Source organism: Homo sapiens, chromosome 2 (genome assembly GCF_000001405.40).
Source record: "Homo sapiens chromosome 2, GRCh38.p14 Primary Assembly".
Taxonomy (NCBI): domain Eukaryota; kingdom Metazoa; phylum Chordata; class Mammalia; order Primates; family Hominidae; genus Homo; species Homo sapiens.
In genome coordinates this window covers 30822340-30839898 of record NC_000002.12, presented here as the reverse complement: position 1 = coordinate 30839898, position 17559 = coordinate 30822340, and the positions used below count along the sequence as shown (strand labels likewise).

Below are 17559 nucleotides of genomic sequence, written 5' to 3'. Positions count from 1 at the left end.
GTCTTGTCTCCAATTTGGACAGGGCTCCTCCTCTGTGGAGCACCTCTTTCGGCTATCTCTAATTCACCTGCTGTTCCTTTTCACTGAATCACAGAACCACAGAATGTCAGCACTGAAAGGGGACACTGAGATGCAGCAGTAGAAGTGACTTGTTCAAGGCACACAGTAAGAATAAGAGCCCGGGCTGGGGCCAGGTCGGCGACTCTTTTCATCCCTTGCCTTTTTTACTTTTCTTTCTCTCTCTCTCTCTCTCTCTGTCTCTCCCTCTCCCACCCACCCACCTTGTTGCATCACCCTCAACCAATTGCCTCCCTAATAGGCAACAATGAAAGAAAGGCAAAGTATCAGTAGTAAGAGAAAATGCATGGATCAAGAGGTAAGTAATACCATTTAGTTTGTTGGGCAGTTGCGGGGGTCGGGGGTTCTCTTCTTTCTGATTCTACCTACAACCCTGTATTGTAGGCTGCATTGAACTCCTAGCAGTGACCAAGAAGTCAATGACCTTGAAAGGAGCTATGAGGAGAGAAATCATTGCTCCTGGCCCTTCCCAAATCATTCACTTTCTAGAAAATGCCCAACACCTACCCAACCTGGGGGGTGGAATACTCTACTACAGCAGGGTCCAAGGCGAGCCTTGAAATGTCATGACCACCAGGAACTTAGATCCTTAAACATGTTGGCAAATGACAACCTGTATCTCACTCCATCTCCTTGGCAGACAACAACTCAAAGACAGCCTCTGATTGCTGTCCTGCCCCTACCCCCTGGGCCCAGACACGGAGCAAAGACCAGCTCAAGGAGATGTCAAGTGTCAGCCATCCTCCAGTATCAAACTTAAAAAAAACAACAAAACTGCTCTTCCCTCAATAGATGTGTTTTTATTGTAATTGCTTGAAATTTGAATAGAATGCCATAACCATCCCCATAAATTCGACTTGTTTAGATTTATTAAGCTATTTATGAAATGGTGGGTAATAAACATTCAGGATTAACAACTCTACAACTGCTCTGCACCAGTTACATATAGAGTTGCTAAACTCCCATAAAATAATTATGAATCAGTTACCATACTGACAAACCATAATTGTCAAAAGTTCAATGCAGACTTAGGGCCTTATTTAAAAGTTTGTTTTTATTTGCAGCTTTGAATCTTATCCTGTCTGCTGGCTCTCCCTCTCCTTATTCTTGTTTTCTTTCTTTCCATTCTCTCCATCATCTTCTCCCCTCCTACCACTTTCCCCCTTTTTTTCCATTTATAATATATGGAGGTAGGATAGTATGAAGGAAAGAGCAGGGATATGGGGTCATATCCATCTGAGCTCAGGACAGGCCTCTGGCACCTGCTAGTGCTAGGACATGGGGTAAACCACTTCTCTTAGTCTGTGTCTCCCTATTCATAAACATGGAGACATAGGCAGAGCATCCAGGACATAATTCTTGGGATAACTTTTGGCTCCCTCCCTCTCACCTGCTAATCCTGCCCAACTCATCCTGAGCATAGTGGCCAGACTGGTCCTCCCCAGCCCACCTCTCCACATCCTCCTCCCCACGGCTCTGACATCACAGATCAGCTGGGAGCTCAAGGCTCTTTGTGATTTGGCACATCATTTTCCAACTTCATCACCAACTTTATCATTTTATCTGGGTTCCTAGTGTTATCTGAATTTGAATTCAAATTGAATTAAAATATTTTAATTGTGGTAAGATATACATAACATGAAGTTTACCATGTTAACCATTATTAAGTGTACAGTTCAGTGATATTAAATACACTCACAGTATTGTGCAGCCATCATCACTGTTCATCTCCAGGGCTCTATTCATTTTGCAAAAGTGAAACTCTATACCCATTAAATGTTAACTCCCCAATATCTCCTCTCTCTGGCTCCTGGGCAACTACCATTCTACTTTTTGTCTCTACGATTTTGGCTACTCTAAATATCTCATATAAGTGAAATCATAGAGTATTTGCCTTTTTGTGACTGGTTTATTTCACTTAGCATTATGTCTCCAAGGTTCATTGCTATTGGAACAGATGTCAGACTTTCCTTTCTTTTTAGGGCTGAACAATATTCCACTGTGTATATATACTACACATCATTTGTTTGTACCTTCATAGACAAACACTTGTGTGCTTTCACCATTGGCTATTGGGAGCAATGCTGCTATGAATATGCGTGCACAGATATCTCTTTGAGTCCCTGCTTTTATATATTTTGGGTTTATATAGGCAGAAGTGAAATTGTTGGGTCATATGTTAATTCTGTATTTAATTTTTTGAGGAATCAACACACTGTTTTTCATAGTAACAAAAAAAATTTGCTAAAAGGTCTTTTCACTAATTTTAAGAGTAATATACATGCTTTATGAACAACTTGGAAAATATAGAAATGTCCATAGATGAAAATAAGTTGCTGATAACACTGCTGTTCAGAGGTAACCTGAATTTTGAAATATTTCCATCCAAACTTTTTCCTCCACATCTTTACATTTATGAATTTATCTGAATTTATTTTCATTTTTCAAAAAATTATTTAATAGTACTGCCTATGTGTTCCAATATAAATTTACTATAATTTTTAGGATACAGCTAATTTAGATCAAGTGTTTATTAAAATTTATTCTTCTACAAAATTATCTTGCCTTTTTATAAAAGTTGTGTGACAACTCTAAGAATAGAAAATTAATCAAATATCTAAATTTTTTAAAACAGTGGGTTCTCTCAAACTCAAAGCCCCTGCCCTGCACCTCTATCCCCCACCTCTTTAATTTGAAAACAAGTAAAACAGTTATTTTTATCTTGAAGAAATAGGTAATAAAAATGTAAAAATCAATAAGGATGAAAAAAAACCCTATTATCCTATGATTAAGGAAGAAAATATAGGTTTTGTTTTGCAAGTCCTAGGTTCTTTTTTCTTCTTGCATAATTGTTATAAAACTACATTTGCCTAGTTATTAAATTGCTTGAACAACTGCTATACTCCAGTCTTAATGAAATTAATTGTAATGGCTTCATACTATTACCCCAAGGGCATGTATCATAATTTACCTACATTCAGATGTTGTTTGATTCAGGGTCTGTTTGACACAGGGGAATGGATTTACTACCCATGATCCACGGGCTTCACACTTTCTTTTTTTTCTTTTTCTTTTTTTTGAGACAGAATCTCACTCTGTCATCCAGGCTGGAGTGCAGTGGTGCGATCTCAGCTCACTGCAACCTCTGCCTCCCGGGTTCAACCAATTCTCTGCCTCAGCCTCCCAACTAGCTGGGATTATAGGCACCCGCCACCATGCCCGGCTAATTTTTTTGTATTTTTAGTAGAGGCGGGAGTTCACCATCTTGGCCAGGCTGGTCTTGAACTCCTGACCTCATGATCCACCCCCTCGGCCTCCCAAAGTGCTGGGATTACAGGAGTGAGCCACTGCGCCCAGCCAGGCTCATACTTTCTAAAAAGCCCTACCTTCCCCTTTCTTCACCGCTGAACTGTGTCTCTCTGCTCCTGAAATCACTGTCTATGTGTCTTCCCTCCTCTTAGAAGCTTTCCTTGATTTCATTTTACCCCATTTACCTAAATACCTTTCAATCCAGTTAGCATTTAAATATATGTACAGAGAAAGACACATTAAAAACAGAGAGAAACTAATTTCAGGAAGAATTTTATGAATAGTGCTGAGTCTACATCCCTGGAATGCAAGCTCCCTTCAAATTAATGTTCTCCAAAACAAGTTATCATTGATAGAATTTCCATTTAAGGAATTATATATGTGGGCAACTCCCTAAGCACCTGGCATCATCACCAAAGAAGAGTGTCTAACATTGAGAAAAGGACAGCCCCGAATGTTAACCAGTGCTGTAGTATGTTATCTGCATGTGATTCTTCATAGGACTCAACTAGATTCAAAAACACATTTTAAAAGAAGTTTCAGAAATGGAACATTGCCCATTTGGAAATCTGAATATTATATCTCTATCAAAACATAATGGGCCAGATTCTCAGCTGCTTCCAAATTCAGTCTAGAAAAATCTTACAAAAATCTCTTCAAACAAAATAAAACAAAATAATTCCCCTTCAAAGGATTTACATGAATAGATCACAGGTCTTTGTATCATCAAGTTTAGATACACACCTTTTGTTTAAAAAAAAATCTATAATATGAAAACTTGGAGAGGTTTCTTTCTCACATACAATTTTGAAATCAAGAGAAATCCCCTCTTTCCCACAGTCCGTAGCCAATTTTATCTCAGGAACAACCAGGAAAAACCATAGCTTTAAATCATACAAGTCCCGGAAGGGTCAAGATCAAACTATTTACAGGTCCTGCTGCAATTAACCTGGTAATCTGACATGGGAGCATTTGTCTATATGGGGTGAGTAGACTCAAAAAGAAATGTATCTCTACTAATCAGATAAGTATTTCTCAGGAATAGGGTGTACCTACTTTAAAGATTAAGCTATTTTCATTCTAAGGTGAGTCTTATGATAGACTTTAAATTCATTTTATGTAGAGATTTTCTTAAGAATTCTTTATTTCTTTATAACTATTTTATTGTTTTGTACTTGGAAAAATAAAACATTGCATTTAGTAACTATAAAAGGTGAAGGGAAGGACAGGGGTAAGAACAGAAGTTCCTGGTTACAGTGTTTAATGACATATCTCAGGGGCAAAAATGCCCTGGCCAGGAAAAGTTCTGCTGAAGGTCTTGAACTTCTCTGAGATCAGAGTGTGAATTAACTTCTGGCTCCAGGAGTCCAGGGGCTTGAAAGCTATGGAGGCTGATTTCCTTCAGCTTCTTCTGAGGTGCTTTAGGGCCATATGTCTAGGGTAGGTGAGAAATGGGGGAAAATCTTATTTAAAAAATCAAACACCTAAAAATACAGATTTAAAAATTCAAAGAGAGCAGCTCTTTTTTAAAAAATTGTGGTAACACGTATGTAACATAAAATTGACTACTCCAGGTACCTCCTATAAGTGGAATCATACAGTATTTGTCCTTTTATGAAAGGTTGACTTTATTTAACATTATGTCTTCAAGGTTTATCCATGTTGGAGCATATGTCAGAATTTCCTTCCTTTTTAGGGCTGAATAATATTCCATTGTATATGTCTGCCTCATTGTATTTATCCATTTACCCATCCATGGACACTAGCGTTGCTTTCATCCTTTGGGTATGGTTAATAATGCTGCTGTAAACATGGGTTGTACAAATATTTGATTGAGTCTTTCCTTTCAATTCTTTTGGGTATACCCAGAAGTAAAATTGCTAGATCATATGGTATTTATATTTCCATTTTTGGGGGGTGGCTGCCATAGTGTTATCCACTGTGTCTCTACCATCTTATATGCCTACTGACAGTGCATAAATGTTTTCATTTCTCCAAATCCTCACTAATGCCTGTTGTTTTCTGGTTTTTGGTTGTTTTTATTTTTGTTTTGTTTTGGGGAATACTCATATTAATGGGTGTAAAGTAGGATCTAGCTGTTTTGATTTGCATTTCTCTAGTGGCTTATGAAGTGATAAAAAGAAAAACTTCAGCCAAATTACATTTAAAGGAGTTTATTAAGCAATGAACCATTTGTGAGTCAGGCAGCCTTCTGAGCCAGGGTAGGCTCAGAGACTCCAGCACAGCCATGTGGTGGAAGAAGATTCAAAGGAAAGTGACATACAGAAAACAGAAGTGAGGTACAGAAAACGAAAACAGCTGGACCAGTTACAGCTCAGCATTTGCCTTATTTGAACATGGTTCAAGCAGTTGGCTACATTTGATTGGTCAAAATTCGGTGACTGGCTTAAGTGTAAGCTATGGTCTGTTTATACCTCCACTTGTTATAATTAAGGATGTACAGAAAAACCTTTAGGCCAAACTTAAAATAGGTAAGGAGGCAGCTTTAGGCTGAACTTGATTTAACAATTCCCCTTGTTTGATGGTCATCTCAATTTTGAGAGATTGGCCAAAAAATTAGTCATTAATGTCACTATCATCGTCGTAAACATACTTATTTGGTCTTGAAACTCATTGGGAAACAGTAGAACAGTGGGTTTTGCAAAGTGGGGACAAGGACTGACTGAAGAGAGGGTATCTCCTTATGCTGGAACGTCCTGTTTACAGGAGAAAAACAAAACCTGGTCTATTCTAGGACCTATGTGTTTCCTTAAAGTCTTAGTTTGATTATGTCACATTTAGCACTAGTGACTCTGTTTTGGTTTGGTTTGGTCTGTTGGGGCCTAGTGCATAAGCTCAGTCCAAAACAATGGCCTCTCATAATTTTGTTTAAAAAAATTCCTTTTTTGTTCAGGTTCTCTTAGGTGAGAGTGTAACCAAAATTTAGGACCTTAGCAGCACTCTCAGTTACCATCATTTTGAGTTTCCAGTCTCAGCATGTCATTCATAGGTTGTGGTGTCCTCATGATCACACTTTTCTTTCAGATCTTGTCATGCCAGTTGAAGACAGACCATTTGACCCTTTAGAGATGGCTGCACGCAAACATTTAAAACCTTTGAGAGAATATAGCACACCAGGGAGACTACTATTATGACTATTGGGAGGATAATACCAAGAGTTTACAGTATTCGCCTTACCCAGGGTCCCCATAAACCAAACCATATAAAATCAAATAGATCAAAGAATGAGCTAGATAAAGAGTCTACCTACTTAACTAAGCAGCCTCTTGGCTAGTCCCCTACAACTGAATCTCTATAATACCTGATGTGATGTATTTCTCCACAGGCCACAAGTGCCAGCAGCTGCACAGATACTTCTGTTTAGCCAGTAAATAATCTAGAGCAATTTGATTAGTTAGCATAACTTTCACAAGATAATTTAAATTCTGTTGTATAACTATAGCCTTTACAGTAGAATCTGCTATAGAGTTTATCATGAGGGATACATTTTAAATCATTGCTTCTTTTACTCCAAACCATGGAAAAAGGACCTAACAAATGATGCCCTTCTAGAAGAATGAAGGCCTCCTGGCAATATTCTCTTTAACTTATGATGTGGATTAAGAGGAGTGAACTAATGTTTTATTTCTGACTGATTAGGAGGCAATGTATGTACCATTAAAGTTTCTCACCTACATTGGTCCCTCATCTGTCATCCATCAAGGTATAAAGTTATCCATGTATAACGCTGGCTGCAAAATCCTTCACAAATAAAATCATACCCTATAAGTGTACACAACAGACCCCCTTTTCACTCCTAGTGTTTATAGAGGCATAAGGAAGGGAAAATATTCAAAGATAAAAGTCTCATGATAGTAGAGAAATCTTGATCTGTGATATTGGGAAAAGCTGTTCACATTAAGGATCCCATCTTCTGGGGAGAAACTTCCCTGGTTAGCTTTACCTTAAGAGTTCCAATGGGTGTACAGCTCCAAGAACATGGAGGGACCCTTCTTTGTTGTGAGATTATGAACCCAAGGTTCAAGGTTCTGAAGTTTTGTTGCAGTGTGGATGGCAAGGGCAGTCTTTCTCTGATGTTCTCAGAAGATCCAATCTTTGGATTCTAAATTATGAAGGGGTTGATTATCCTCAGTCAGGGAACCATAAAAGCTTTCTTTACCTGGTGAAATTATAATGTGGAATAATAATCTACTGTTATAACATCAGCCCTCTTGCATGGGAAAACAACTTTTATACAACCAGAAAACAAGCATTGAAAATGATAATTGAATGAAATTCAATGAATAAATGAATGAAATGTTTAAATGGCCCATCAGATAGCAAAATATACCTGAAGCTTTGATTGTCTTCCCAGGAATATGGGTCAATAAACTAAACATCAGTCATAAACTATTCAATTTAGAAGTCACCGCACCAATATATATTTAATTTAAATTATTTTATTTTCCATGATGAGTCAGAGAATGTAGACCTTTAAAAACAAAAGCTCTAAGAACTCAGGAAGAACAAGGCAGCTGTCCTGGTTCTCCATGAGGCCGTGCTTAATTAACATTGGACTTTTGTGTTCCTGAATACCAGATATTTCTCCAGTTTAGGTGCATAGCACTGATGACTGATGGTTTATCATAGGTAATTTAACTTAGATCATGGAGTTCATTTAAATTGTATATCTGAACAATTTCAGTATCAGCTGATTTAGCATAAAAATCTGGCAAAGTATTTTCTTGGTATTCAATTAATTTTTGTTCTACTTGGGTTAGCCGTTTTATAAACCAGTCAGTCTTCTCATTAAAGTTCTAGGAATTCTTACCCAGTCCAAATGATATGATTTTAAAGTTATCAGAAACTTGTACTTTTCAGGGTCCTTTCCATCCTTTCATGAACCTCCTAAAAGACACCATATTCCAGGATTTTGCATGCTGGTGAAGTTTTCAGAAACTGCATCAGCATTAAGGAATTAACTGTGAATTGACTTTAAGTAGTCACAGTTAAAGACACAATTGACAAAGAAATTTGGTTATTTCTGTGGTTTACAATAACTTAATAACCATAATTATGATTGATAGTATATACTTGGACATATTAAAATTTTAGAAATCCCATATAATTTTGGAACATATACTAATATTCACTAAAATATAAACTGAAGGGGGTTAAACATTAATTTTTATTTTGACAAAGCTTCCCATGTAACTTAACATGTCAAATAATCCTGTTTCCCTCTCTTTTGAATGCTTCAGGGACCCTCTATAGCATCTCAAAGTTAGAGGTCAGAAAAGATAATTTTAAAGCTGAAATTTGATTTCAGGAAGCCTATCAAATATGTTAAAGGTTTAAAACACTTGATATTATGAAATAAAAATCCAGGTTACTGTAAGTCATTCACTTAGCCAAAATGATGTCTCAAAAATTTTAAAAAGGCAAAAACATTTACTCATTGATAGAAGACAGTTTTCCAAACAATCTATCTTTTGTCTTCCCCTTCTTTTTTTGGTATTCAAAAGGCAAACAAAAATATTTCATTATCCTTTAATACTACATGAAACTCTTGTTTAAGAGAGAAGAGAAAGCCAAATTCTACCCTTGCATTAGTGTACTTTTTCTTTTTTTAGGCGGAGTCTCACTCCGTTGCACAGGCTTGAGTGCAGTGGTGTGATCTCAGCTCACTGCAACCTCTGCCTCCTGGGCTCAAGCAGTTCTCCTGCCTCATCAGCCTCCTGAGTAGGTGGGACTATAGGCATGCACCACAACACTCGGCTAATTTTTGTATTTAGTAGAGATGGGGTTTCTCCATGTTGGCCAGGCTAGTCTTGAACTACTGACCTCAGGTGATCTGCCTGCCTCAGCCTCCCAAAGTGCTGGGATTACAGGCATGAGCCACTGTGCCCCGCCATTAGTGTACCATTAATGTTAACCCCAATCTTTAATAAAAGCTTATAGACAAATTTATCAATCTTAATCAGTTTGACCATACGGTGAGATTTTCATAAACCTTCTACAACCCTTGAAAAATTTTTGTTAAAGAGCAGATAAATGCTCTAAGAAAACCCTGGTGTGCTTTCATTCCAATGTTCAATTTACAGAAAAAACTGCATAGTACTCCTTTAAATTTAGCCAATGTATTCATACACAGAATCTTTTACAATTAATTTTTCAGAAATCTTTCACAACTTGTTCAAACCTTTAGCTTTATCCTAATTTAAAACAATCCTTTAACCCTCTAAACTAGGCAAAAATTTACATTCCCATGCCTTCTTATAATCTTTTACTAAAAACACATTTTATTTTCCTTACATAACTTGCATGTTTTTTCAGCAGTTTTAATTACCTGTTACAATGTTAAATCTTAGCAATTTTTATTTTTGGTGAAAAACCTGCTAAGTAAGTGATTTTAATTATGCACTAGGCTTGGAGCCTAGGACACCAGACAGAAGTACAGATAAGGTCTGTCTCTTTCTGGAATAGCTAGGGGCATGGCTAAATCCCAATGTCCTCAGGCCTTACCTAGCTGTAAGACAGGAGAGTTGAACAATCTTCAAAAGTCAAAGAAGTAGTTTATGACCTTAAAGCATTTAGCAAACCTAATATCTGACCTGCCTAATTTAGACTAAATGTTTTTAGTGATTTAAGTGCTTGTTTTTCTTTAAGCCAATTAATTAGAGCTCTTTTATATAAACATCACACAAAAAACACGTATATAACTATACACAGAAGAAGATCCAGTAGTTGTAAGGTTTTTCATTTGGCAGTTTTTAAGTTTGTCTTAATTGGATTACTGGCTTTAGGGTGGAGCCCTTCAAGGAATAGGGCCAGGAAAGCATGCAGTTTCTAGGGCCTAATAAGCAGACACAGCTGGAAGTAAAAAACAGATCTCCAAAATTAAGCATCCCACTTTTATATCACATCCTGGATCCCCCCAAAAAGGGAAATGCTATGGGAGAAGACATTGCAATGCTTTTACTGTGCATTTCATTTCATGGCAACCCAAAGCCAATTAGCCCATTTTACAACCACTGCTTACCCCAAGGGAGTCTTATCTCTCAATTTGGGGTGGGGATATCGCCATCCTTCTAGGTGGCCAAGAGCATGCTTCCCTGATCCAAGGGTACAAAGAGCTGAATATTCCCCCATAAATGCCATTAGCCATCCCTAAAGTATATTTCCTACCTAATTATTACACACCAAACCTCTCTCATAATGCAAAGTAACTTCTGATACCTCTAAAACTCAAAACTGTCAAATAACAAATGCGAAACAGAACAGAGCCTTAGATTTTGAGAGGAATCTATCCACTTTCAATTCCTAGGGTTCCATGAAGAAAACAGGTTTTTTACCAAAATGGGGTCTATGGCAACTCTTCTGTTTTTCTCAAGGAGTCCCAGGCTATTAGAAGTTATCTTAGGTCGTCTTATGTGTGCATTAAGAATGGCAAGAAGACAAAAATGGAGAAAAATAATTAAGTCAACTGAGAAGAAATAAGAAACCTTTCTTCTTCAGAAAAGTAAGATCCAAGAGAAGAAACACCATAAAGGCCTTTTAAATATACATATAGCTTGGATATTGACTTTTAATTAAGCTGACTTTGGTGCTCTCTAAAAAAAATGTCCTTTTAAAATTCTTATTACCCTACTTTAACCAGGCCAAATGGCCAGTATTTCTGGCTTTTAAACTTTACCAAAAGTAACCTCACAAGTGAAACCAACAAGCCTCAACTATGCTTATGACTTAACCACAGTGTATGAGGTATTTTCAAAGAGGCATTAAGCAGTTTTTATAAAACTTAGAATCTTCAAAAGTAGCTCAGAGAAAGGAAAATTTAAGGGAAGCTAGAAATTGTTCATGGAGGGGAAGAGAATCAACAAATGGTAAAAGCCACGCAGATATCAACCAGAAAGCACTCATTCCTAACCCAGGACTGAACCCGGGGCTGCCATTGTAAAATGGCAAAGCCTTAGTTGCTGAGCTAAGTAGCATTGGGCAGCTTTCATTGCTCTTTCCAGAAGGAGTCTAGAGCAGTCAATTTTGAGCTTACACTGCTTTTAACTAAAGATAATTTTTAGAGCTAACTATGACATAAACCCCCAAATTCCTGTTCCCTAGATGGCAGAGACCAAGAGAAAGTACTGCCACGTGGTTACCAGGTCAAGCTCCCAAGGACATAAACCAAGATGAAAGCTCATCCAGTTCTTTGTTTGTTTCAGGGATCTGCAGCAAAGTTTGTTACTGACCAGCTTGCTGGGCCATCTTGAATAGTGAGCTTATGGGGGTCCTAAGCCCGTGTTCTATCCTAAGGTACTCCTCTTTGTGACAGAACCATACAGAATGACACTCAAGGCACACCAGATTCGCTACAACTTAAGACTAGCCTCAGAATCCTTTTCTGCATTAATCAAAACTTTACAGAGGAGAGAAACAGTGATTTTTTACCGTTCATTCAACCAATTTGCACAGAGAGAGAGAAAGGCCAGAGTCTGACTGGTAAGAAATTCTTACCCTTTTGCTGGCATGTCAGGCTTCTGGGTTTCTCCTCCCTGAGGGCCCTAGTGGCTCAGCTTGCTGTTCCATGGTCCTGTACATGCCTAATCCTGTCATCCACAGCTATCAGCAAAGAGTACAATGCAGATTAATCCAAAGAGAATAGCAGTAAACATCCCATAGTGTCAAATCAATTTTTAACCAAGAGGAACTTTCCTGAGGGGAGGGCCTCTAACACAATCCCATTCTTTACCCAAGTAAAATTGACCCATTACTTACCGAAAGCCAGTCAATTGGTGCTGTGGTCTATTTCCTTTGAATTGGGATTGTAACTAAGCTGAAAGGTTAGCAGATTTAATTTTTTTTAAACTAATTGCCACTTAAGCTTTTTATTTGCCTTTCGTAAAGTTTTTAAATAAAAATATTAAAATCTTTCTAGAAGCTTCTGCATATCAATAGGCATCCCTGGATGAGACTAATTTGGGAGTCCTCATTTTTAAATGCACTTCAGTGCAGTTTTGTTCATTTGGAACATTCCACTCTAAGTTATCTTTAGTAAGATTTCACCATTTCTCTAAGACTTGACTGCTTCTGGGGCCTAACACTTATGGATGTGTAAGCCAGGAGGAACTCAGTTCTTCAGAAATTAAGGATCCCATTTTTACCTAAGATATTGGCTTTGCACTCAGGTCTCCTTGATTAACTTAGCCAATGCTTTTTTTTTTTTTTTCTACCAAGAAAAAATGAAACAAAGTGATAGAACACACAAATCCCTGCAAATTTTCAAAAGCCAAATTTTACACCCCCTACAATATTACCATTTACTACCAGTTTCTTTCTGACCCAGTCAGATGTAAGAGGCCTCTAACTGGATCCAATCCAGTCAAATCCGATCCTGGACCCAGTCCAGTTTCTGTGGCAACTTCCAAGCCCAGTTTGGATCAGAAATTTGCTCAAACTCAGAAAGCTCATAACACAAATTTGTGAAGCTCCAAAATCTGAGATAATTTATCATGATCCTGATCCCTAGCTGCCCGGAGAGATTAACGGGTGCTGCAGGTACCTCACTTTGGTCACTCAGCACTCCTGGAGGGTCATTAGAAGCTCTATTTCTGATCCCACTTCTGACACCATCTATTAAAAGAAAAACTTCAGCCGAATTAAATTTAAAGGAGTTTAATTGAGCAATGAATGATTCGTGAATCAGGCAGCCTTCTGAGTGAGCCAGCACAGCCATGTGGTGGAAGAGGATTTATGGACAGAAAAAGGAAAGCAACTGTACAGAAAACAGAACTGAGATACAGAAACAGCTGGATTGGTTACAGCTCAGCATTTGCCTTATTTCAACACTGTTTGAACAGTTGGCTACATTTGGCCAAAATTCAGTGATTGGCACAAGTGCAGGCTACAGTCTGTTTACACCTCCACTTGTTATAGTTCAGGATGTATAGAAAAACCCTTAGGCCAAACCTAAAATATGTAAGGAGGCAGCTTTAAGCTAAACTTGATGTAACAGATGTTAGGCACATTTTCATGTGCTTATAGGCCATTTGTATACCTTTTTTGGAAAAAATGTCTACTCAAGTCCTTTGCCCATTTTTTAAACAAAGCAACTCATTTAAACATTTATTATTATTTATTTATTTGAGCTTCCAATTAAGATTTGAAGACACAATTCCACTGATGTAAAAAGAGAGAAGAAACACATTTAAATATGGCTAATCTATTCCATCTCCCATTTTACATGCCAGGGCTCCTCAGCTGGGCTCAGAAGTCAGCTCTGAGAGCTCTGCACCATCATATCCACACATGCCCCTTCATGGAGATAAACCCTCAAGCTCCACGTTGCTTTTCAATCATCAGAGCTAATTTTTTTCCACAGTTGTGGTACGGCATTTTGCCAGCCAAATCACTGTGTTTGGCAATGTGTCAACAGATTGGAATTTCAGATCCCTTTCCTGGAGACAAAGGGATCTGGGAAAAAGGTAGTTCTAATCCAGGAGCCCCTCACTGTTTTGTGAACTACAGATGCAATGCGCAAGCTTAAGAAGGAAAGGAGTGAAAGCAAACGTGGTCTGAACCCCTTGTCTCCAAGATTGGTTCTAGCCAGATAGCATCTCTGACAAGGTGTCCCTAAACCTCACTTCTTACTAACAAAAAGAATTCAAGTGTTGGACTGAAGGGATTTAAGAAAAACTTCAGTTGAAAAAAAGAAAGTAACTGTATTTCTTGCATTTGATCTGTCACTTGCCTTCCATAAGCCCCTCTCCTATGTCTCATGCTAACATACCCAGTTACTGAATCAAACTGGTTCAGTTTGATTTCTTGGTCAATGGCACTGGAATCATTGTTAGGCCTCTGAATGACACCTGTCTTTGAGATTCAAGAAGGGACAGAAAAAGAATGCAATCCTCCTTTTCTTTTTTTTTTTTTTTTTTTGTTTGAGACAGGGTCTTGCTCTGTCGCCAGACTGGAGTGGAGTGGTACGATCTCGGCTTACTGTAAATTCCGCCTCCCGGGTTCAAGTGATTCTCCTGCCTCAGCCTCCCGAGTAGCTGGGACTACAGGCATGCACCACTGCCCCCAGCTAATTTTTGTATTTTTAGTAAAGTCGGGGTTTCACCATGTTGGCCAGGATGGTCTCTATCTCTTGACCTTGTGATCCACCCGCCTCGGCCTCCCAAAGTGCTGGATTACAGGCGTGAGCCACCTCTCCCAGCCACAATCCTACTTTTAGGTCTCTACCTTGGCCTGAGTTCTTCTCTCCTCGCCCAGAGGCAGCCACATTCTAGGGAACAGGGCAGCCTCCCAAGAGATCTGCTCTGCCCAGCTTGTACTGAATCACAATGTTTGGTTTCTCAGGTCCTTGGGTATCAGCTGAGTTTCCAAATGTGCTTCAAGTTTGATCTAGTTTGACTGTGAGTTGTTCATTCTCAGTTATTAATAATCATGAGGTACAGAGTTGGCACAGATTATTAGAATTCATAGATGTGCTTTCTCCTATACAGCCAAGGTTGTAAATCCTTCCTCTGATGAGGTTTTCTGTACTAATTTCATAGGGCTGCCATAACAAAGTACCATACACAGAGTGGCTTAAACAATAGTAATTATCCCATAATTCTGGAGGCTGGAAGTCTGAGATCAAGATGTTGACAGGGCCACGTTCCCTCCAAAGGTGCCAGGGAAGGATCAGTTTCAGGCCTCTCTCCTCCATTCAGTAAGAGGCCTGTGGCAGCATTAACTTCGGTCCTCACATGACGTTCTCCCTGTGTACATGCCTGTCTTTGTGTCTAAATTAGAAATCTCCTAAGACACCAATCATGTTGATTTAGGGCCTTTCTGGATCATCTTATATTTTTGATTAGCTCTGTAAAGACCCTCTCTCCAAATTAGGTCACATTCTGAGGTACTGGGTGTTAGGACTCCAACATAATTCTTGGGGTGGGGAAGGAATGCAATTCAACCCATAACACAAGCAGAATCTTGGTCTGGACTCAAAGGGGTCAAATCAAGGTTTCATATGAACTTGTCTAGAACTCAACTCCTCCCTACAAAACAAAGGGCTAGGACAATGTGATCTTAAGACTGTCTTCCAGGCTGGGCGCAGTGGCTCACGCCTGTAATCCCAGCACTTTGGGAGGCCGAGGCGGGCGGATCACAAAGTCAGGAGTTCAAGACCAACCTGACCAACATGGTGAAACCCCATCTCTACTAAAAATACAAAAAATTAGCCAGGCGTGGTGGCGCACTCCTGTAGTCCCAGCTACTTGGGAGGCTGAGGCAAGAGAATTGCTTGAACCTGGGAGGTGGAGGTTGCAGTGAGCCAATATCATGCCACTGCACTCCAGCCTGGGTAACAGAGTGAGACTCTGTCCAAAAAATAAAAAAGACTGTCTTCCAGCTCTAAAATCTCCTAGTCTTAACATTTATTTTCCCTGTCATGAAAACATATCCATTTGATGTCCATTCCCCATAGGCTTGGCTTTCTACTAAGGATTCTCTCAATAATGGGTTAAACGTTTGAAAAACATGGCAACCAGTGGCATGGCATGTGCCCCACAGGTCCCAAGGCAAGGCTCACAGGCACTGAAGGGGCAGGAAGCCATCAGAGGGGGAGCAGGTTTTGAAGACAGACAGGACTTACCAGGACCCGTCAAGCCCCTCCTCCACCACCACAGGCCTCTGTGTGTCCCTCTGTGCTACTTACAGCTTCCGATCCCCGAAGACATCACATATGCCAGCCTTCTCAGCCTCAGCCTCAGCTCACTGTCTCTTCTTTATCTCGCCAGGAGAGCCACTCATGCAGAACTACAAATGTTGTCCTCTGTGATAAAATTATCCTGTGAGGGCTGGGGAATCCACCCCACGCAGCGGGCAGCCCTCAACTGACAATGCAGCTCCCAGAAAACACTCAGCAGCCAAGCTCTGAACAGTGATTAGCACAAGTGTCTGTTTTGCTTACGCTTCTTCACATAGACATTTTCAGGCTGGGTGAGTGAGATGGACACCCAGCCTCGCGCACCTCTGCAGGCGTCATCTGTGGGAGAGACCAGTGGGAAACACTGCCATGCCCTCTCTCACGGCTGGGAGTGCATTTTCCATTTTCTTTTTCCTTTTCTTTCCCCAACCCCTGCTCATTGTAGGAAGATTTAAAATGATAGAAATGTGTAAAGAAGGCATGAAGAAAAATCAGCCAGTCTTACTATACGGAGGCAATTATTGTGACATCTTGGCATTTTTGCTTCCAGAATTTTTCTAAAACATTGTGTAACACAGCTGAGATCATATTGAATATATTATTTTGAGTCCCACTTTTTTTTTGCATTTGATATTCTCACAGCATTTTGCCAAGGCTGGTTGTTAATCAGCCTTCTAATAAAATTTATTTGGGAGACTGGGATCACTACTGATGATGCAGAAGTCCCACTCGGGGTTGTTCTCCACATTGACTTTGGAATTTCTTCAGGCCAAAGAGGGGTCTCCTTTACCCTTACAACACTTGCCTCAAGTTGCAAAACTCCCTTCCTGGCCACTTCTTAAAGGAAAATTGGCCAAGGTACTTCTTGGCACTACAGTGAGAGAAGTGGAAATCTGAGAATCTGGTCCAGGACCAACATCCCACCAGGGACATTTCCAACGTTCTCTCAGCACCTTGGCTACCAGGAGAGAAGCATGAATTGGAGAGAAGTGGCTCAGTCTTGTCCTGAGTGTTCTGTGGGGTCTGATGGGGACAGACCCCAGGTGGGCAGGGCCCAGCCCAGGAGGAGCCTGCATTCACACACACTCCCATGTCCCAGATACTGCCCACATTGCTGCTTTTATTCCTCAGCCACTCTGCTAATTCATCAGCCCCATTTTAAAGACAAATTAACTGAGGCCTAAAGATTTTAGCGACTTGCCTAAGATAATAATTTCAGTAACAGCCCAACCTGAGATTCTAATCTCACCCCAAAAGTTTTTAGATCACACACATGCTGCCTCTCAAGGTCCTGAGAAGCCTCCCTTTCTCTAGGTAACTAAATTGGCGTTTGTTCATTTTGGCAAGCTTGCCTCAAAAAATAAGAAAACCAGGGTGGGTTGGTGTGGATGATGGGGGGGTGACAGGAAGAGTCGCATGCAGGACTGAGGTAGCCGATGCCCCACAGGTTCTGCGTGCTGACAACTGACGCTCTCAGC

The 17559-nt window shown here is 39.7% G+C and overlaps 3 long non-coding RNA genes across 3 annotated transcripts in view; 1 reads left to right on the top strand and 2 right to left on the bottom strand.

Annotated features, from left to right (window-relative positions):
* LOC124905982 (uncharacterized) overlaps positions 1-17559 on the top strand; it is a 69911-nt gene that overhangs the window by 39208 nt on the left and 13144 nt on the right. The window lies entirely within an intron of this gene.
* LOC124907750 (uncharacterized) lies at positions 4533-7441 on the bottom strand. Its single transcript, XR_007086269.1, has 2 exons — positions 7352-7441; positions 4533-4822 (listed from the first exon to the last, which is right to left on the bottom strand). It is a non-coding gene; the product is annotated as an uncharacterized LOC124907750 (long non-coding RNA).
* LOC105374435 (uncharacterized) lies at positions 7470-16397 on the bottom strand. Its single transcript, XR_939930.4, has 3 exons — positions 16091-16397; positions 11902-12006; positions 7470-7567 (listed from the first exon to the last, which is right to left on the bottom strand). It is a non-coding gene; the product is annotated as an uncharacterized LOC105374435 (long non-coding RNA).